This window comes from Homo sapiens, chromosome 4 (assembly GCF_000001405.40).
Source record: "Homo sapiens chromosome 4, GRCh38.p14 Primary Assembly".
Classification (NCBI taxonomy): domain Eukaryota; kingdom Metazoa; phylum Chordata; class Mammalia; order Primates; family Hominidae; genus Homo; species Homo sapiens.
In genome coordinates, this window is record NC_000004.12 from 5,715,716 (window position 1) to 5,738,251 (window position 22,536).

Consider the following 22,536-nt stretch of genomic DNA (forward strand, 5'->3'; position numbering starts at 1 on the left):
ATTTCGAAGGCATTTTTCCATTGTCTTTTTTTTTTTTTTTTTTTTTGAGATAGAGTCTTGCTCTGTCACCCAGGCTGGAGTGCAGTAGTGCAATCTCGGCTCACTGCAACCTCCACTTCCTGGGTTCAAGCAATTCTTCTGCCTCAGCCTCCTGAGTAGCTGGGACTACAGGCATGCGCCACCATGCCCAGCTAATTTTTGTATTTTTAGTAGAGATGGGGTTTCACCATGTTGGCCAGTCTGGTCTCGAACTCCTGAGCTCGTGATCCACCTGCCTCGGCCTCCCAGAGTGCTGGGATTACAGGCGTGAGCTACTGTACCCGGCCTCCATTGTCTTCTAGCTGTTGTAGAACCAAACTGGGTTCCACTCACCTGGCACAGTAAGACCAGATAGCGACACTGAGGTTTTATAGTGGTAAAAAGGGAGGTGTTTATTCACAGTGCACCAAGCCAGGAGGACTAGGCAGCTCATGCTCAAATCCTGACTGCCCTGATGACTTCCAGGTGAGGTTTTTAAAGGTAGAGGTAAATTTCAGGAAAGCAGAAGTTACAGGCAAAATTGTAAATCAATACATGAAGGTGACAACTGGTTTTGGCCTAAAAGGGCCAGACATCTTGAAGTGGAGGCTTGCAGGTCAGAGGTAGATTCAAAGATTTTCTGATTTGCAATTTTGTGAAGGAAGAGAAGCTTTGTTTTAAAATGTAGGTTCGGCAGAAAAGAACCTTAGCTCAGGCTCCTGGTCATGACTTCCTCTGGGCTCCCCAGGAAGAGCTTTAGAACAAAGAATGGTGCTCAGAGTTCAGATCTCAGATAAGGGGCAGCTGAGGACCTCAGCCATGGATCCTCAGAGTGGATCCATTGGATGGGGGTCCAGGTTTCTGAAAAACAACTCAGGGACATATGTTAAGATGTTATCTTTAGTTTCTGCAGGGAAACCAAACATCTCCTGACTCTAACTTCCTTGGCTATTGTTTTAGGCGACTATTACCTTCTTGCTTATCAAGTTGTTGATAATTTCCCTTGAAGAAAGTCAGGATTTTCCTTTATTTCCAGGCTTAGGGCAAGGGATTTGCAGGCCCTTAAAAAGGGGGGACTCTGCTTCATCTCATAATTTCCATGGTTGCTGTTGAGAAAACTGATTCTATTCTGATCCTTGATACCTTACACGAAACCTCTTTTCCTTTTGTTCCTCTGTAGAATCTTAAAGAACCTTTACCTTTGCTCCTAGTAAATGAAATTGCACCACGATGGTGTTGGTGAAAGTCATTTGTCATCCACGGTGCCAGGCATTTGGAACGTCCTTTTGATCGAGAATCATTTTCTTGATTTCTTTGATGATTCTTTTCCTTTTATACGTTTTCTTCTTCCAAGAACTCCTATCACTTTTTTAGGTTGAATTGGGCTTCCAATCTTAGTCTTTCTCTCTCACTTCGATTCTCTTTGTCTTTTTTACATTATCTTTGGAGAGATGTTTCTCAACTTTATACTTGTATTGAGTTTTTCATATTTTCAATTTTGAAGAGTCATTTTTTTGTTCTGAGAATGTTCTATCCTGTCCTTATTTTATGAATGGAATACCTTCTCTGATCTCTCTGATAATATTTTAGTTGTTTATTTGTTTAAAGTTTTTTTTCCCTGTGTAGTGCGTTCCCTGCTTGCTTTTTCCTTTTGTTTGTTTTGGATTTTATCTTTCATATTAGAGTCTGTCCTCAAATGGCTAGTGACCCTCTAGACATTTTCAAGTGATGCTGATGCTCCCTCTGTGGGATATATATATTTTTTCCTCAATGTCTTTACTGTAGGACTATCTGACTGGGTTCTTCTTTGCAGGACCCTTGTACTGGTCTGCTATGGTTGGTAAACAACCCCCCAAATCTCTGGCTTCATCATCCACCCCAAGACCCACGACAGACTGCTGCATCTACACAGGTTTCTCTCTATGCCCAGCATGGGCCTGCCTCCAAGGCCTTTGCACTTGCTATTCTGTCTCTAGAATGCTCCTCCCTGAGATATCTCAATGGCTCATGGCCTCACTTCTTTTAAGTTCCTTCTCAAATGCCGCTTTGTCCAAGAGACTTTGTCTCCCATCATCCTTCATTCCCCCACCCTCCACTGTTACTCTAGGACATGATTGTCCCTGAATTGCTATGTATTTTTTCATTTGTTTGCCTCTTTCTTCTCTCACTGCAATGTCAATGCCACAAAAGCAGAGGCTGTGTATTTTGTTCGTTACTCTATTCCCAGTACCTAGAACAAGGCCTGACACAAAGCAGATGCTCGATAATAGTAGCTGATTAACTCAGTGACAAACTGGTGATGTTTCTTTAGTGCAAAGATTATATTCATGAGCAGGTAGTGATTAAAGGGGAAGTTGAGAAGTGTCTGGGATAACAGAGTTTTAAATATAGTCTACTCTCCTTATTCATGGTAGTTATGTTCTGTAAACTCACTGAGAACACAGCATTAGCGAACACTGAACCGTTGTTCCTGGGGGGAAAACAGGGTTAGGTTCCTACAAGCCTCTGGTCACAACATTTCCATTAACCAGTCAATACATAGCATAGTTTTATGTATGTTTCTGTTTAAAGATATCTTATTTAATAGATATTTTTAATTTATTAACATTGGACTCACAGACATCAGCTCTGTAACTCACACCTGAATGAAGCTTCTGTAACACACCCATTTCTCCAGAGGGCATGTCATAGTTTTCTTGTGTTTCGGGAGACTAGACAGCACTTCTGCACTGTGTTTGGTGGTTATTTTAAACAGTAAAGTCACCGAGAAAAAGCACAGAAATGCAAAAACTGTGCTACTAGAGTATGAAAAGGATGTTTGTTTACAGCATGAGAGCAGAGACAAGAAGGCAGAGTGCTACTTTGTTCCATCTCAACTGAGCACGTGCATGCTGGGCAACTCAGATTGTTCATGCTCTGCATGTATTTGTGAATAACTGTAAAAGCGCCATGAGCATTGGTTTGGGGGTTCTAAATAAATATTAGCAAGTACAGGAATTGGCAAATACAGAATCCATAAATAATGAGCATTCATTGTAGTTCAGAATAGAAACTACTCTATAACTTAAGGTCACCTAACATATTGTCTTAAAAACCATTCAATAGAATGATCAAGATCAACAGGAAAATTATATGCATGTGCCATTTCTCATGCTTAGTTGTTAAATCCAAAGAGCTCCCAGTCCAATGGGGTCCCCAACCTAGAAGAAAAATGGAACGAGCTTTGCTCTGCCTCTTGCCTCAAGTCCTGAGGGTGCACTGAAATGGGGCATCCTGGAGGCCTTAGGGGAACCGCTCAGGAAGGTGACCTGTGCAGTCTTGAAGGACATGTAGCGGACCCCACGTGGGGTGGGAGGCGTCACACACAGAAGACCAAGCTTGAGAAGCACAGAGGCGAGCAGAAGTGGCTGCTGGACTGGGGGAGTTGACTGGCAAAAGTCACGGTGGGGACCAGGCCGACTGACCTCAATGTTGTGTTTCTATCCACCCCCAACTCCTGACCTTCGGGTTTTAGAAAGACGACACTCAAAATCTGCTCAAGAATTTGGAGTCTAATGCGCAGACCCCCTCGGAAACTGGCTCCCCATCAAGGAGGAGGAAGAGAGAAGTGCAGATGTCGAAGGACAAGGAAGCTGTTGATGTAAGCTTGGTGTTGATGTTTGTTTGTGGAGGCACATGTGGGAGGTGGGGTATTCCCCCTGGAAGCCGGGTGTCATGTAGACAAGCCTCTGACAGATATAGTTTCCCAATGGGCTGCTTTTCTGAGGCATAATTTACATACAGTCAAATGCGCAGACTTTAGGTTTTACAGTTTGATGAGTTTTGACAATTGCATGCCCCTTAGAACAAATACCCCCCTGAGAATGTTTTCATCACCCAGCAAGTCCTCTAGTGCCCCTTTCTGGTCACTTCCCGCCCCCACACACTTCCAGAGGTGCCCATGCGTGGGATTTCCATTGATTGGTTCTGCAGTTCTGGAACCTTATGCAAATGGAATTGTGCTGTTCTGTGCCTGTGTTCCCTCCACAGAATGCCTTAAGATGTTTCCCTTTCGTTGTGTGTATCAATAATTCACCCATTTTTATTGCTCAGTGGCAGTCAACTGTGTGGATGTGCCACACTTTGTTGATTGCTCACTGTTTGTGTGTATTTCATTGGCAGACCGGGCTGTTTTCAGAATTTGACTGTAATGAATAAGCCTACTATGAATGTTGGTGCATAAGTCTGTTTATTTTCATTTCATTTTACTTCCTTTAATTAAATCTCTGGGGGTGGGGGTGCTGGGCCTCTGGAAGAGATGTTAAAAAAATTCTATTTGTTCCTGCCTTCCTGGAACCCTTCCTCTATCCACAGAACATCGCTTTCTGGGTGAGCCCCGTGGGTGGAGAGGATGTGACATTTCTAGTCACCTCCTTGTCCCCTAGGAAGTACTGCAGGCTTCATCTTCTGGAATAAGGGGAAGAGATGGAACTAGCATTATTTTTTAGCATCACTCATGCCAGGCAGTTTTACACCTCTCACCTGTGAGTGATGCCAACACTCACGTGAATGATCTCGTGCCCTTCTCTCAGCAGCCACGTGAGGCTGATCTGATTTATATTCCCATTTTCCAGATGAGGAAGCCGAGGCTCAGAGGTAGGCTGCTTTCCTGAGTCCCGCAGCTGGGGGAGTAGCCAAGCTGATATTTGTCCTTGGGTTTGCCAGGCCCCTGCTCCAGAGTGCTGCGTCCCCACACCCAACTTCTAGCCTCTGCTCCTTTCCAACCTGTTCCATCCTGTTCCGCAGCCTTAGCTTACCACAGAAGAAAGTGGGCTCGGGATATAAAAACGGATTTCCCCAAAGGTCCGACGTCAGTAGGGCTCAGCTTCTAGTTACTCTGAACAATCAGCTTTTGCGTTAGCCCTGCATCTCCCTCCCTGGCTGGTGGGATCCCTGTAGAGGGGGGCATTGCCCTGCCCTTGGCCAACGTGGACGGGGGGAGAGATGGGGAAGCCTCTGCTGCTATCCCGGGACATGGCTTGCAGGAGATGAGTCTGGAACAAGCAGATGTTTAACTTTACCGTTGGTAATTATTATCTTGATAATGGGCATCTGCTAGGTGTAGCTAAATAGTGAACAGGTAAGACATTACTAGGCAGGAAAATATGAGTTAACTTTACAGCAGGGTAAAAAGACTTAGGTCTCCCTCCAAACACTGATTGAGCCCCTATTTGAATGTGCCCTGTGCTGTCTCTGACACTGTGTGCTTGCCTCTCCACGTGTGTCTGTGTATGTCCCAGTCCATCACTCTCTCATGTGTCTCTGTGGGTCTTTCTGTGTGCATCTTTGTGACAGTACGTGAGCTTCAGGTGCATGGCATCTCCCTGTCTCTGTGTCTCTCTTCCCCTCCTCTCTCTCTACTGCTGTGCCCCCTCCCACCCTCTCACACTACTAGAATCTGCTGACAGATGTGAAAACATGTCCACCCAAAAACTTGTACACAAATGTTCAAAGCAACACTATTCACAATAGCCAAAATGTGGAAACAACCCAAATAGAAAAACTGGAAAAATAAAATGTGATATATGCAGACATTGGAAGGTTATTTGGCCATAAAATAAAATGAAGGGCCGATGGGTGCTACAACCTGAATGAACCTAGAAAACATGCTAAATGAAAGAAGCCACTCACAAAAGACCACATGTTATAGGATTCCATTCCTGTGAAATGTCTAGAATAGGAAGATTTATACAGACAGAAAGTAGATTAGTGGTTTCCAGGGGCTGCAGCAGAGGAAAGGGAGGGATGGGGTGACAGTGAAAGAGGACAGGGTTTCTCTTTGATGCCATGAAAATGTTCTAAAGTTGACGATAGGCTGGGCATGGTGGCTCATGCCTGTAATCCCAGCATTTTGGGAGGCTGAGGCGGGCAGACACTTAAGGTCAGGAGTTTGAGACCAGCCTGGCCAACATGGTGAAACCCCATCTCTAGTAAAAATACAAAAATCAGCTGGGTGTGGTGGTGCATGCCTGTAGTCCCAGCTACTTAGGAGGCTGAGGCAGGAGAATTGCTTGAACCCAGGAGGCGGAGGTTGCCATGAGCTGAGATTGTGCCACTGCACTCCAGCTTAAGTGACAGAGCAAGACTCTGTCTCAAAATAAATAAATAAAGTTGACTATAGTGATGGCTGCACATATCTGAAGATAGGGAGAACTATGAAATAGTATACATGAGTGAACTGCAGGGTGTGTGAATTAAATCTCAATAAAGCTGTTAAACAATGCTGCTCACACATAGGGTACCCTTGAATGTGATGAAAACACATCTGGCTTTGGGAGCTAGAATCCTGGAACCCAGTCCCAGCTCTGCCACATGTTTGCTGTGTGATGTTGGGCAGGAAGCATAACCTGTCTGAGCCTCAAGTTTCTCATTTTAAATGACAGCAGTGATGGTGCTCCCCCTGCCATTCCCGAGTCACCCAGGGCTGAGTTAATGCGTGTGAACGTTCCTGCCACGGAATAAGTGCTCAATCAGTGTTTGCAGGGGGACCTAAATATTTCTACCCCGCTGTAAGGTTATTTTTTTCTGCCTAGTAATGTCTTGTTCACTATTCAGCTACACCTAGCAGATGCCCATTATCAAGCTAATAATTGCCAAGGGTTAAGTGAAAGATCTCCTTGTTTCAGTGACTGGCTTGTCAGAATGCTTTTGCTTTCTGCAGACTGAGCTTGTCAAAATATGTGGTCAGGGCTGCTTTGGCCCAGTGGATCGAGCTATAACTTTCTTGTCCTCTAGTGCACAGAAAACCAGGGCCTTGTGGTTCCTGCCACGCCTTGGATGACCTCTGTTTAATGAACAACTCATCTCAGCCGAAAACAAACAAAATTCCAGAAGGCTCTGAGGCATGCTATTCCACAGCCTCCGTCTCTCCATCCCACTCCTTTGCTTTGGAGGGAGGGAGAGTGGGTGCCTTTAAGGATGCATTTATGCATTCTCTGAAAAGAACCCCTTTATATTGGTGATGGAAATGGTTTTTCATTTCCTGCAATTATACTTTAACCAATTTTCTGAATAATTGCATTGCTCCAGCTGAGGAAGTTTTACCTTGTACATTTCGCTGCAACCAATTTTCTAAATAATTGTATTGCTTCAGCTGGGGAGACTCTCAGAATTTGGAGGACACCTGACCTTAATGAGGAGAGCTTTAAAAAACTAAAGGCAGTGGCTCCTGTTCAGGTAGCAGAGCCCGCTCCTTCCCTGATTTCAGGTGTCACATGCTCCTGCATCCTTCATCCCCTGGCAGAGACCATGACCGTCCTTGGGCTGGCCCTGCAGGGGTTGCAGTCTGCAGGTAGACAGATCAGGTGGAGCCTTCCTGCCAGCTGGGATGTGTTTCTGATGCCCATTTCCCGGCTCCTCCATCCCCAGGTGCTGCGCCTACAGGTCTTGGGTGGACCCAGCACCAACATCCTTTCCTTCTTTTTTTTTTTTTTTTGAGATGAAGTCTCACTCTGTTGTCCAGTCTGGAGTGCAGTGGTGCGATCTCGGCTCCCTGCAACCTCTGCCTCCTGGATTCAGGTGATTCTCCTGCCTCAGCCTCCTGAGTAGCTGGGATTACAGGCATGCGCCACCACACCCAGCTAATTTGTGTATTTTTTAGTAGAGGCGGGCTTCCACCATGTTGGTCAGGCTGGTCTCAAACTCCTGACCTCGTGATCTGCCCGCCTTGGCCTCCCAAAGTGCTGGGATTACAGGTGTGAGCCACCGCGCCTGGTCCTTTCCTTTTCATAATTAGGTTTTTGTTTTGTATTCCCCCCTTGAAGGTCAACTCCTGGGAAGCAGGGATTTTGCTTTTCTCTCATGGTCATCCTTTTCTTTGTCGTTTCTTTTCTCCCCTGTTTGTAGGAAGTTTACAAATGCACAGGGCCCTTTTGCTTTTGTATCTTTCCCTTGAGCAAATGTGTCTCCCCTGGACAGTCAGCCAGGGCTGGTGTCCTGGGTGTGACCTGTGAGGTCACAGGGACCACGCTCAGATAGGCCCACTCTTGGCTGGTGGACTCTGCTGTCACTATCTTGAAATTCTTGATCATTATTAAATAAGAATCCCCATTTTCATTTTGCAATGGACTCTGCAAGTGAGTCCTGAGTTCAGCCTTTTCCATCTTCCTGCCATTCCTTGTTCACTGACAAAACTCCAAGCAGAAAGTGGGCCAGAATGCAGGGGATTGAGAGCAGGCCAGGCTCTGTACCCTCAGGTCAGAGGGAGGCCAGGAAGGATTTTAAGAGGCACATCGATGGAAATTCATGTTTAAAAGATAATTCGATTCCCACAGGGAGAATGAATTGGAAGGTGTTAACCTCTGATCCTCAGTTCGCAGCACCATAAGGTGGGCATGATAATAATAGTCCCCACCTCCCCAAGCTGACAGATGTGTGATAATTAAATGGGCAAACATGCATAAGGTGGCTGGAGACGGCAGACCCTCAATACATGGATGAGGAGCTGGTTAGGAAGTGATTGCAGCCCTTCAGGGTAAATACGCTGGAGGCATAGGCCAGGGCCATGGATTCGAGAGAGATGTAGGAGGTTAAGTTAATGGGATTGGTGGTCGGTTGGATGTGGGGACTTGGGATGTGGGAGTGCGCGATGCCTCAGTATCTGATATAGGTTTCTGAACACGGTGAAGCCAAGCTCAGGGACCTTCTCCACGAACCCCCACTTCCCTTTAAACTTCATGGCACTTACTCTTGCTGTTATTCACATCATGTTGACAGAGCCAGCATGGCATCAGCTAAAGAGGGCGGACCTGGGGCCAGCAAAGCTGAGTTCAGATCCCGGTTCTAGTGATGATTAGCTGTGTGGCCTTGGGCACGTGACTTCACCTCTCTGTGACTCATTTTCTCTGTCTGGAAGTGGAGACAGTGACCTCTGTGGCAGGGTCCTTGGAAGCTTGGGGAGGTAGCGTACGTTGGTGGTTTTCCCTGTTATTTTTTTTTTTTTTACTTCTTGAAACCTTTTCTTCAACTTTTATTTTAAGTTCTGGGGTACACATGCAGGATGTGCATCTTTGTAACATAGGTAAACGTGTGCCATGGTGGTTTGCTGCTTAACCTAGGTGTTAAGCCCAGCATGCACTAGCTATTCTCCCTGATCCTCTCCCTCCCCTCGCCCCCGACAGGCCCCAGTGTGTGTTGTTCCCCCAACCCAATGTGTCTATGTGTTCTCATTGTCTAGCTTCTACTTATAAGTGAGAACATGCGGTGTTTGGTTTTCTGTTCCTGTGTTAGTTTGCTGAGGATAATGGCTTCCAGCTCCATCTATGCCCCTGTAAAGGACACGATCTTGTTCCTTTTTATGGCTGCATAGCATTCCGTAGTGTATATGTACCACATTTTCTTTATCCACTCTATCAGTGATGGGCTTTTGGGTTGATTCCATGTCTTTGCTATTGTGAATAGTGCAATGAACATACACATGCATGTATCTTTATAATAGAATGATTTCTATTCCTTTGGGTAGATACCCAGTAAAAGGATTGCTGGGACAAATGGCATTTCTGCTTCTAGCTCTTTGAGGAATCGCCACACTGTCTTCCACAATGGTTGAACTAATTTACATTCCCACCAACAGTGTAAAAGTTTTCCTTTTTCTCCACAGCCTCACCAGCATCTGTTGTTTCTTGACTTTTTAATAATCACCATTCTGACTGGCATGAGATGGTATCTCATTGTGGTTTTGATTTGCATCTCTCTAATGATCAGTGATGTTGAGCTTTTTTTCATATGTTTGGTGGCCACGTGAATGTTTTCTTTTGAGAAATGTCTGTTCATGTCCTTTGCCCACTTTTTAATGGGGTTGTTTTATTCTTGTAAATTTGTTTAAGTTCCTTGTAGATTCTGGATGTTAGACCCTTGTCAGATGGGTAGATTGTAAAAATGTTCTCCCCTTCTGTAGATTGTCTTACACTCTGATGATAGTTTCTTTTGCTGTGCAGAAGCTCTTTAATTAGATCGCATTTGTCAGTTTTTGCTTTTGTTGCGGTTGTTTTTGGCATTTTTGTCGTGAAATCTTTGCCTGTGCCTGTGTCCTGAATGGTATTGCCTAGATTTTCTTCTAGGGTTTTTATAGTTTTGGGTTTTACATTTAAGTCTTTAATCCATCTTGAGTTAATTTTATATAAGGAATAATGAGGGGTCTTCCCCCATTCTTGTCACCCAAGTCTTTTTGTGAGTTGTAAGGTACAGAGAAACGACAAGAACAGGAGCCCCTGGTGTGGAGTGTCCCTCCCGTGTTGCTCACAGGGCATCGCGGTGCAGCTCTTCCTGGAGAGGTATCTAGGCCACAGTGCTGGCTCAGTGGAGGCTGTGTCAGCACCTCAAATTAGGAGCAAGTGATCAATCCTGTGTTTCCCACAATAGGGTGTCTTATTCCAAGGTGAACTTTGTGATTGGAAATCGGTCATTGGTGATGGAGCTCACTCTTCAAGACGTGGTTGAGAAGCAACTGGATTGACACAGATGCAGTTTTCTTCCATCAGTGTGTTCAGAATTGCCCAGTAGAGATTTCTCATGGTCTGCAGCGCCAGGCTTTGGGCTTGCCTGTCTGCTTATCTTCATTCACTATCCGGTTGTTTCCAAAGCATTGATTCAGCACTGACTTTACAAAGTGCAGGGCTGGGGTGAGGATGACCCAAGAGGAGAGAGATGCAGAGGATGTGGGGATATAGGGCAGGCCATGGATAAGTCCATCCAGCTTCTTATTAATGAGTCAGGGGAGGTGATTCCTGAGCAGGATTTGACAGTGGTGTGTTGTGCCACTATGCAAAGCAGCCCACTGATGAGTTTCTTCTCTTTTCTTTTTTTTTTTTTTTATTATACTTTAAGTTTTAGGGTACATGTGCACATTGTGCAGGTTAGTTACATATGTATACATGTGCCATGCTGGTGCGCTGCACCCACTAACTCGTCATCTAGCATTAGGTACATCTCCCGATGCTATCCCTCCCCCCTCCCCCCACCCGACAACAGTCCCCAGAGTGTGATATTCCCTTTCCTGTGTCCATGTGATCTCATTGTTCAATTCCCACCTATGAGTGAGAATATGCGGTGTTTGGTTTTTTGTTCTTGCGATAGTTTACTGAGAATGATGATTTCCAATTTCATCCATGTCCCTACAAAGGACATGAACTCATCATTTTTTATGGTTGCATAGTATTCCATGGTGTATATGTGACACATTTTCTTAATCCAGTCTATCATTGTTGGACATTTGGGTTGGTTCCAAGTCTTTGCTATTGTGAATAGTGCCGCAATAAATATACATGTGCATGTGTCTTTATAGCAGCATGATTTATAGTCCTTTGGGTATATACCCAGTAATGGGGTGGCTGGGTCAAATGGTATTTCCAGTTCTAGATCCCTGAGGAATCGCCACACTGACTTCCACAATGGTTGAACTAGTTTACAGTCCCACCAACAGTGTAAAAGTGTTCCTATTTCTCCACATCCTCTCCAGCACCTGTTGTTTCCTGACTTTTTAATGATCTCCATTCTAACTGGTGTGAGATGGTATCTCATTGTGGTTTTGATGTGCATTTCTCTGATGGCCAGTGATGATGAGCATTTTTTCATGTGTTTTTTGGCTGCATCAATGTCTTCTTTTGAGAAGTGTCTGTTCATGTCCTTCGCCCACTTTTTGATGGGGTTGTTTGTTTTTTTCTTGTAAATGTGTTTGAGTTCATTGTAGATTCTGGATATTAGCCCTTTGTCAGATGAGTAGGTTGGGAAAATGTTCTCCCATTTTGTAGGTTGCCTGTTCACTCTGATGGTAGTTTCTTTTGCTGTGCAGAAGCTCTTTAGTTTAATGAGATCCCATTTGTCAATTTTGGCTTTTGTTGCCATTGCTTTTGGTGTTTTAGACATGAAGTCCTTGCACATGCCTATGTCCTGAATGGTAATGCCTAGGTTTTCTTCTAGGGTTTTTATGGTTTTAGGTCTAACGTTTAAGTCTTTAATCCTTTTTGAATTGATTTTTGTATAAGGTGTAAGGAAGGGATCCAGTTTCAGCTTTCTCCATATGGCTAGCCAGTTTTCCCAGCACCATTTATTAAATAGGGAATCCTTTCCGCATTGCTTGTTTTTCTCAGGTTTGTCAAAGATCAGATAGTTGTAGATATGCGGCATTATTTCTGAGGGCTCTGTTCTGTTCCATTGATCTATATCTCTGTTTTGGTACAAGTACCATGCTGTTTTGGTTACTGTAGACTTGTAGTATAGTTTGAAGTCAGGTAGTGTGATGCCTCCAGCTTTGTTCTTTTGGCTTAGGATTGACTTGGCGATGCGGGCTCTTTTTTGGTTCCATATGAACTTTAAAGTGGTTTTTTCCAGTTCTGTGAAGAAAGTCATTGGCTGCTTGTTGGGGATGGCATTGAATCTGTAAATTACCTTGGGCAGTATGGCCATTTTCACGATACTGATTCTTGCTACCCATGAGCATGGAATGTTCTTCCATTTGTTTGTATCCTCTTATATTTCCTTGAGCAGTGGTTTGTAGTTCTCCTTGAAGAAGTCCTTCACATCCCTTGTAAGTTGGATTCCTAGGTATTTTATTCTCTTTGAAGCAATTGTGAATGGGAGTTCACTCATGATTTGGCTCTCTGTTTGTCTGTTGTTGGTGTATAAGAATGCTTGTGATTTTTGTACATTGATTTTGTATCCTGAGACTTTGCTGAAGTTGCTTATCAGCTTAAGGAGATTTTGGGCTGAGACAATGGGGTTTTCTAGATATACAATCATGTCGTCTGCAAACAGGGACAATTTGACTTCCTCTTTTCCTAATTGAATACCCTTTATTTCCTAAAGTTTCTTCTCTTTTCTAGTGACTCAGCAGGGTGCTTCATGAATGTGGTCTTCGAGGGCAGCTACTCTGCTGGTTTACTATCTGGGAAGACTGAGGTTCAGAGGAGTTAGAAGATTTGCCCAACCACTTCCTTTTGTTTAAGGGTCTAATCCCAACTCTTGTGTGTGAATATGACTGCATGTGCTTATACCCCTGGCAATGCTAAAATTATTCTGTGTGTTTGCTTTTTCTAATTCCTTAGGAGACTCTCTTGTTAATTAGTCTTAAGTTATTCAAATCCTTATTTCTTCCAAAGCTGAAGATTGTAATTAAATGAACATTGTGCCATTCTCTTATGATAGCATTTGTCTGTTCATCCATCTGTCCATATCCCCATCTATTTTTTCATCCACCCATCTATCTCTCCACCTTTTCATTCACCCATCTGTCTGTCCATCCTTCCATCCAACCACCCATCTATTCATCTGTCTACCTATCCATCCATCCACCTGTCTATCCATCTGCCCACCCACCCATTCATTCACCCATCCATCCATCTATCCATCCATCTGTTTGTCCACCCATCCATCCATTTTCCTTCTGGCAAGGAAGAGCTAATATGAATCTAAATGTGCCTATCATGGTCCCTTTCTGAGGCTGCTATTACAAATGGGATGTGGCATTTTGGAAAAACTTGACAACTTATCCTTCATTTTACAGAAAGTTTCCCATGCCGTTTGTGTCTTTCCCTCCCAGGAATGTGAGCCGCCTTCCAACAGCAATATCACAGCATTCGCCCTGAAGGCCAAAGTCATCTACCCCATCAATCAGAAGTTCCGGGTGAGAGTCCTGAGCTCCATCATAGAAAGCCAGTTACTTCCGTCATGTGCCAGAGATTGGGAGGAAAGTGGGGGGATTAACTGTGTGATGTTTGGTCCTGTTTGAGGGTTTTATGGCAAGTCATTTTAGTAGGGATAGTTTTGAGGCTCAGGAACAGGACATGCCCATGGTAACCACGGTACGGAAGTTCCATGGTTCCTTGTATCCCCAGGGACACGAGGTAACAGCACAGTAGGACAGCTCCCTCTCTGCCTTTTTAACACTAATACAAACACTGATACCGACTCAGTTCTGAGCGCTAATCCTCATTCACAGAGCCCTGGACTAATAATGCCAGCAGCTGGCACTTACTGAACACTTATGTGGACAGGGCCAGTGTTGTGTTAAGTATTTGTCATGCATCAGGCGTTTCAACTTGGTGTTATGCCTATCAGGTAAATAATGTCTCCACTTTACACGTAAGGAAACTGAGGCCCAGAGAGGCGAGTGACCTGAGGTCACGTGACAGGAAGTGGCAGAGCCAGAGTCAGACCCCAACACCTGGCTATGGTTACACCTTCCATGGCGCTTCCAGGAGCCCTCAGCCTGGGAGGTGCTTTGTGCAAAAAAGTTTCCTAGTGAAATAAGTTTGGGAAAATGTGGCTTGCTTTCTTGGTATTCAGGATGACGAGCTCTGGAGTCACAGCATCTCAGTCCTAACCCCATCTCAGCCATTCACTGTGTGGCGTTTCCTGACTTCTCCTGCCTCAGTCTGTTTATCTGTCAAATGGGGATGATGGTGCTCCTGCCTCGCCCAGTTGTTTTGGGTGTTACACAAGATAACATACATGAGGGCTCAGAACAGTGCACAACATCTGAGCACTCACAACATGTTAGGATCTTGTCAATTATTATTTGCTTTTGAAGACACCCAAAGCCTATTGGAGGTTCTGAGAATTCCTGCACCAAAGGAATATTTCACCTTGTTTAACACAAGCTTTACCGAACTAATTTTTCCATGGAAACTTTGTGGTGAGCAGTAACTGGCTCAAGGAGCTGTTCCCTGGAACCCACATTGGGAACCACATCCTTCACGTGGTTGAAGGGTGGGACGGGTGGGTGGATGAAGGGCATTTCTCCATCCTCTGGGTAGGCCCTGCGTGGGCCCTGGGGATCACGCCATAGTCAGCAGAGCGTCAGCCCCACCCTGGAGGCCCTCACTGCCTGAGTGGATTGAAATACACCGAGAATGCAGGACAGTGCATGATGAAATAGGCAAGAGGCAGATCCCCAGGGACCTGTGGAGCCAGTATGGGGTCCAGGATCCACGCCTGGAGGAAGGGACGCTTCTGCCCAGCAAACAACAAATGGGGGGTGTTTCAGGTAGGGGGACCAAAGTCTGGAAAGGCCAGAATTATGAAGTCACCAGGAGCGTCTAAGCCAGAGCCACTTCACTGTGGCTCGGGCAGCCAGAGGTGGAGGCTGACATTTGCTGGGCCCTCTAGCCATGCCAGGCCCCAGGCTGTGACCTCCTGTGGGCGTGGTGTGCATGGTGTGCATGGTGTTCCAGCTTCTTGATTAGGAGCGTGGAGCCTGTCGGTGGGCAGAGGGCAGGAGGGTGACTCCTGCTCTGTGCAGGCGAAGGACAGGTGGTTGGCAGGATTCGTGGAGGGAGCAGGCCAGGGGGTCAGCAGCAAGGAGAGAACTGGGTCAGGGCAAGCGGTGGCTATGGAGGAGGTAGGTCAGAGTTGGCAGCTGGGAGGAGGGTGCGCTGGGTGTCCGGGGCACAGATCCAGGTTGGCAGTTTAGGGGAAGGAACCTGGTGCAGAGGGGCTGGCCTTGTGAGGACAAGTGAACTGTGATTCGGGCCTCTGGGCTGTCGATGTGGCAGAACCTGGGACGGAAACTCTGTGGTGTCTGCTGGCACCCTGGCCAGTCTCCTCCAGGCAGACCTTCCTGTGAGCGGCTAGCGTGAATCACTGGTAGAATTATGAATACTAGATCAAATCCCAGAGGCATCACATGGACTGAGTGTGACTCCTACTGCCACCCCAGCCTCTGGCCGATGGCTCCTCCAACCCGTCTCTGCATGAAAACTTAAAGCAGGCTGTTTTGCCACACCAGCCGGTAGAGGCCTCTCCTTCCAGCAGTCTGGGGAGCCTGAGCCAGGGTGAGAAGGACGACTGCAGCTCCTCATCCAGCGTCCACTCGGCCACCAGCGATGACAGGTTTCTCAGCCGCACCTTCCTCCGGGTGAACGCCTTCCCTGAAGTGCTGGCCTGCGAGAGGTAAGGAGAGCGGGCAATGGAGGATGAGGCTTCCAGTCCTCTTGGAGTGGGCCGGGAGTCACATCATTGTCAGAGGAGGAAACAGAGGCCCAGAGAGGTTCAGTGACTCTGCCAGGGACACACAGCGACCCAGCGTCACCATCGGAGCCCCAGAGGCCTTTGTCACTTCCTGTGCTGTATTGCCCAACACTGGGGTTATGGAGTCAGGCCTGAGCCCCGGGGAGAGATGACAGGGAGGCCTCATTTAATCACTGGCGTGCTCCCAGCTACTGGCGAAGTTGATTAAGTGGGTACTTCTGAGTACCGGGCAGAGTGCTAAGCACTTTACAGGGATTGATGATCTCATGAGGATTTTGCCCAGTGAGGGGGATCCTGGGACAAGTTCAGCAATCAGTAAATATTAATCAGTGAGTGAATGAATTCCGTTTAACACCCCTATGAAGTTGGTACTGTCATTTCCTCCAGTTCACAAAGAATAAAGGGAAACACAGAGAGGCTGCGTGACTTGCTGGTCACACAGCCGTGAGTGACGGAGCCGGATTTGACCCAACCCAGAGCAGGGCTCCGCACGTGGTGGGGGCTTAAGAAGCTCAGTCTGGCGGGTTCACACACCAGGCCTCAGGCCTCTCTCTGCTCCAAAATTCCGCTGAGTCCAAGAGGTGGGATGATCCAGGGCACAGCCTCTGCTCAGAGTTGCTGCAGAAACACTGGGCTCAGCACCTTGAGCCTGAAAGTGGCCCAGGCAGAAGGGACTTCGTTGAAGAGGGGCCTTCTTGGACTGGCCAGCCCTGGCTTAGAACGGCTTGCTTTCAGCATTTGGGACTTAGAGGATTTGAAACGGTTTGGGTGGGAGAGTCATCATTTAAAATGCATTTGCCTATGAGGGAAAAAAGGTCAAAGACTTTTACACTCTGCCATGTATCTGCCCCCGTTGACCCTATGATGGTCACTTGATTTGTCTGATTCTCTCTTCCCTGAGTCAGTTTCTGCATCTGTAAAATGGGCATGAGAATGTCTCTGCTAAGGCACCGAGGAAAGGTGACACGTGATGATAGACATGAAAATGCTTGAGGTTGGGCACCATGGCTCATGCCTGTAATCCCAACATTTGGGAGGCCAAGGTGGGTGGATTGCTTGAGCTCGGGAGTTTAAGACCAGCCCAGGCAACATAGTGAGACCCCATCTCTAAAATAAAATCCAAAATCAACCGGGTATGGTGGTGCATGCCTGTAGTCCGAGCTACACGGGAGGCTGAGGTGGGAGGATTGCTTGAGCCCGGGAGGTGGAGGCTGCAGTAAGCCGTGATTGTACCACTGCACTCCAGCCTGGGAGACAGAGCAAAACCCTATTTCTAAAAAGATAAGTAAATAAATTTTTTTTTAGAAAATACTCAAAGGAGGAAACGTCATTTTTATTTCTCTCCCTTCCCTCTCTCCATTGGTTTTCTCTTGGAAGTCCCAGGCACCTATGTCTCTGACACCAACTGTTCTCTTATGGCCATTAGTGGGTTTCAAACAGCTCATTTGATCCCTTCTTATAAACCTGGAGTGAGCGTAAGGACCTCAGCATGCTGCAGAATGAGAGTTTGAGGCAGGGTGTGCTGTGGCTTGTACTGATGAGGGACGTGCCAATATTCTTACTCTTCATTTCCGATACCCTGAAAGTCTTTTCCGCTTCTCATTTTATTTTGCAGTGTAGACGTTGACCTGTGTATCTACAGCCTTCACTTAAAAGACCTGCTGCATTTGGACACGGCACTGAGGCAGGAAAAGCATATGGTAGGTGGAGATGTTCGCATTCCCTCCTTTTCATGGGGACAGGAGCTGGGAGACAAGGACTCTGTGTGCAGTGAGTCCCAGAGACCCTTGAGAGGCAGACATCAGTGGAAACAGAGCCGCTGTGAGGTGGGGGAAAGCGGCGCTGTCAGGCATGCAGCCACAAAATGGAAAAGCACTTCACGCCTGTTGGTGGGGCATGGCCTTGACTTCAACCAGAGCTGTAGGGGCCTCAGCAGAAAGATGAGTGCCTCCTCCCGGGCTACACCTCCTGCTGGAGATAGAGATAAAAGATATTTAAAAGAGAACAATATGTTTAAAGGAATGATAATAATGATAAGAATATTTATGAGCATGAATTTTCTTGAGTCTTGCTATGTACGAGGTCCCAGGAGTATTACACTTAAACCTCAGCACAACCCAGAGGGGCGGGTGTCATTATCATGTCCACTCTGCAGGTGAGAAAACTGAGGCACAGGGCAGAGGATTTACCCAAAGTTATAAAGCTGCAGGAGTGGCACTGAGATGAGAAGTTCAGTACCTTTTCATGGGGCCACGTGTTCTCTTGACTGAATGAACAAGAACTCAGAACTGTGGATGTGGGGAAAACAACATTAGTCTCTGCCAGATGCACCTGGCCTCTGATTGAATCAGCCACGGACCTGAGCTATGGGAAGCCAGAGAGAGGAGTCCCACTTTAGCCGCAGAACCCCGGTGGGTTTATTCAGGCATCAAGATGACGGGGGTTAAAAAAAAGTGTTATTTCTCCATAAGGCACATTCTCTGAATTACTGAATGAGGAATGAGACCCTACAGAGAGAAGGCAGATGAGAGAAAGAGGAGAGCTAGAAACAGGTGGACAGACACACAGATATGTCTACAGGGCACTCTTACAAACTGGAGAAGAGCAAGAACATCACGTTGGAGGCCAGGCATGGTGGCTCACGACTATAATATCAGGGTTTGGGAGGCTGAGGTGGGAGGATTGCTTAAGCCCAGGAATTTGAGACCAGCCTGGGCAACATGGCAAAACCCTATCTCTACCAAAAACAAAAACAAACAAACAAACAAACACTTAGCCTGGTGCAGTGGTGTGTGCCTATAGTCCTAGGTACTCAGGAGGCTGAGGTGAGAGGAACACTTGAGTCCAGGAGATGGAGGCTGCAGTGAACTGTGATCACACCACTGCACTCCGACCTGGGCAACACAGCGACATCCTGTCTCAAAAAACAAAAAACAAGAATAGCACACTGGGGATGTGCCTGGAAGAAGCTTGGGCTCTGTGTGAGCAGGACTGACTGGCCTCATAAACGGGTGCCAATGTTTGAAACCGTAAATATGCTAGAATTCAAGAACTAGAGCATGGCCCTTCACCCCCTCTATCCCCAGCCCCATGGAGGTCCCTGGATGGGGGCCACCAGGCAGCCTGTGTCCAGCTTTCCTCAGTGAGCTACACCTGGCCCTGGCTGTTTTCTCCAAGGCTCCATGCTTCCTGAGAGGACCAGTTGTTTCTGGGCTCAGAGCCTGTCCAGTTGGCAAGCAGAGTAGTCCTGGCTGGCCTCGCCCCACAGCCAGCGAGTGTCCACAGGGAGCAGCTTACAGTCCTGGAGGGAGCGTTCAGCATCACTCACCATCCAGCACAGGGGTGTGGCCTCTGCACACTGCCAGGCACTGTGTCAGACCCCAGGGGCAGCCTCTGCCTTTGTGGAGCCCACTCTCTGGGGCAGTGGGGAGGGCAGTAAACAGATGTCACAAAATAAACGGTGGCAGGCAGCATGGCAAAGGCCTGTGACAAAGCATCATGCGAGTGTGAAGGGGGCACCTGAGGGAATGCAGAGCTGGGGAGATGGTCAGGCTTCCCTGTGGGGAGTCTCGTGGGTGGAAACCCAGGGAAGTTCCAGGAGCACTGGATTAAGGGACAGTCCTAGACCCTAGTCCACCCTTTGACAATTAGGAGCTGTGTGACTTTGGGTAAGTTGCTTCACCTCTCTGGGCCACTTTAGGAAAGGCTTAAATAAAATATCCTTTCAGCTATTGCTATATGGAGTTACTGGGAAGTCAAGCTGCCCTGCTTTGAGAGGGTTCTGTGGGTAGAACTCTGGGCTCCATATCACAGCTGTGTGGCTGGCATGGTCACAGCAGTGATTATTCTGCACGTACACTCTGGTAGGCTCAGTGCTTTAAATGTTTTACTTTTTTGAAGCTTTACATGCCACTTCACTAACGAGGAACCTGAGGTTCAGAGAGGTTAAGTCACTTGCCCAAAGTCACACAGCTGGTGATGGCAGAATCAGACCTGGACAAGGTCTGTGTGAGTGAAAGGCCCCTGCATGCCCAGGTGTGGCCCTGCACCCTGCATGTTAAAGGTGCTCAGGAGAAATGTGTTGCATGTGTGATTGGCACCGCCCTGAAAGAGCTGCTTCCCAGCAGGGTCCTTCCTGCTCTGGGGAGCATAACTCTATCGTCGTGTGCTGGGACTGTAAGAACCTGGTGAGCCGCTGGGAGCTGTGCTGCCTGGAGACTTAAATACTCTGTTTCCCTGGTAGAGATGAGCTGGGGTTCAGAAGTTATTCAGACCACATGAGACCCTCATGCATCCCAGAAGCTTAGAACTCCCTGGCTGGCCCTGAGGAGGAAGAAACTGGCTCTGGGCTTGTCCAAGAGGCAGGAGAAGCTGGAGTGTAACCTCTATAAACAGAGTGGCCAGGATGAGAACAGATTGGGGGCATGGAGGAAGATTAAATAAAGGGGAGCACCAGCACTAGGGGGTTCTCATGGTGCTAGAATATTACTTTGATTGTGGCTGCACTTACGTGAATCTATACATGGGGTAAAATTGCATAGAACTACACACACACACACACACACACATGCACACACATAAATGTGCATAAAGATGGGTGAAAACTGAAGAAGGTCTGTAGACAGCAGTATTCAACCAGTGGCAATTTCCCAGTTTTGGTACTGCACCATGGTGACATCAGAACCACCCCTGGGGGAGGAGCACACAGCACTTTGTGCCTGCACACCTGGCGTTATTGCATTTCACTTAATTGCGCTTCAGAGATGCTGCATTTTTTTTTTTTTTTTTTTACAAATTGAAGGGTTTTGGCAACTCTGCATCCAGCAAGTCTGTTGGCTCCATTTTTCCAACAGCACATGCTCACTTCATGTCTTTGTGTGACATTTTGGTAATTCTTGCAATATTTCAAACTTATTCACTATTATTGTGTTATGGTGATCTGTGATCAGTGACCTTTGACGTTATGATTGTAATTGTTTGGGGACACCACATGCTGTGCCAGTATGAGACAACAAACTTAATTAATAAATGTTGTGTGTGTTCTGACTGCTCCACCAACTGGCCATTCCCTCTCCTTGGGCCTCCCTATTTCTTGAGACACAGTAATATTGAAATTAAGCCAGTTAGTAACGCTGCAATGGCCTTTAGGTGTTTGAGTGAAAGAGAGTCGCGTGTCTCTCACTTTTAAGTCAAAAGCTAGAAATTATGAAGCATAGTGAGGAAGGCAGGTCTAAAGCTGAGATAGGCTGAAAGCTGGGCTTCTTATACCACACAGCCAAGTTGTGAATGCAAAGAAAAAGTTCTTGAAGGAAATTAAAAGTGCTACGCCAGTGAACACACGAATGATCAGAAAGCAAAACAACCTTATTGCTGATATGGAGAAAGTCTGAGTGGTCTGCATAGAAGATCAAACCAGACACAACATCCCCTTAAGCCAAAGCCTAATCCAGAGCAATACTCTAACTCTCTTCAATTCTGTGAGTGCTGAGAGAGGTGAGGAAGCTGCAGAAGAAAAATTTGAAGCTAGCAGAGCATGAGGTTTAAAGAAAGAAGCTGTCTCCAGAACAAACAAAAGTGCAAGGTGAAGCAGCAGCAAGTGCTGATGGAGAAGCTTCAGCAAGTTACCCAGAAGATCTAGCTAAGACCATTGAGCAAGGTGGCTGCACTAAACAACAGATTTTCAATGCAGATGAAATAGCACAATATGGTCATGGAAGAAGATGCCATCTAAGACTTCATAGCTAAAGAGGAGAAGTCAATACCTGGCTTCAAAGCTTCAAAGAACAGGCTGACTCTCTCGCTAGGGGCTAATGCGGGAGATGACTTTAAGTTGAAGCCAGTGCTCATGCACCACTCCGAAAGTCCTAGGGCCCTTAAGGGTGATGCTAAATCTACTCTGCCTGTGCTCTATAAGTGGAACAACAAAGCCTGGATCACAACACAGCTGTTTATAGCATAGTTTAAGCCCACTATTGACACCTACTGCCCAGAAAATAAACTTCTTTTCAAAATGTTACTGGTCATTTTCAAAACCCCTGGTCACCCGAGAGCTCTGATGAAGATGTACAAGGAAGTTAATGTCATTTTCATGCCTGCTAACACAACATTCATTCTGAGCCTATTGATTAAAGAGTAATTTCAACTTTCAAGTCTTATTATTTAAGAAATACATTTCCTAAGGCTCTAACTGCCATACATAGTGATTCCTCTGAAGGATTTGAACAATGTAAATTGAAAACCTTCTGGAAAGGATTCACCATTCTAGATGCCATTGAGAATATTCATGATTCATAGGAGGAGGTCAAAATATCAACATTAACAAGAGTTTGGAAGAGGTTGATTTCAATCCTCATGAATGACTTTGAGGGGATTCAGAACTTCAGTGGAGGAAGTCATTGGAAATGTGGAAATAGCAAGAAAACTAGGATTAGAATTGGAGCCTGAAGATGGGACTGAGCTGCTGCAATCTCATGATGAAACATGACTGGATGAGGAGCTGCTTCTGATGGATGAGCA

At 46.4% G+C, this 22,536-nt stretch overlaps 1 protein-coding gene across 46 annotated transcripts in view, besides 1 other annotated feature; it reads left to right on the plus strand.

The window, feature by feature from the left end:
• Positions 1–22,536, plus strand: part of EVC (EvC ciliary complex subunit 1) — a 117,857-nt gene that overhangs the window by 4,515 nt on the left and 90,806 nt on the right. For all 46 annotated transcript variants that reach the window (XM_047449774.1, XM_047449769.1, XM_047449778.1 and 43 more), the window contains exons 2-5: positions 3,533–3,658; positions 13,592–13,675; positions 15,710–15,942; positions 17,636–17,720. In XM_047449774.1, the coding sequence (XP_047305730.1) occupies positions 3,533–3,658; positions 13,592–13,675; positions 15,710–15,942; positions 17,636–17,720 (528 nt within the window). The remainder of the gene's footprint in view (positions 1–3,532; positions 3,659–13,591; positions 13,676–15,709; positions 15,943–17,635; positions 17,721–22,536) is intronic.
• Positions 3,709–3,838: a silencer, noted in NCBI's record as "silent region_15224". NCBI's record gives its function as "represses an Ori minimal core promoter by ATAC-STARR-seq in GM12878 lymphoblastoid cells {active_cell/tissue: GM12878}" and the evidence as "EXISTENCE:reporter gene assay evidence [ECO:0000049][PMID:35858748]".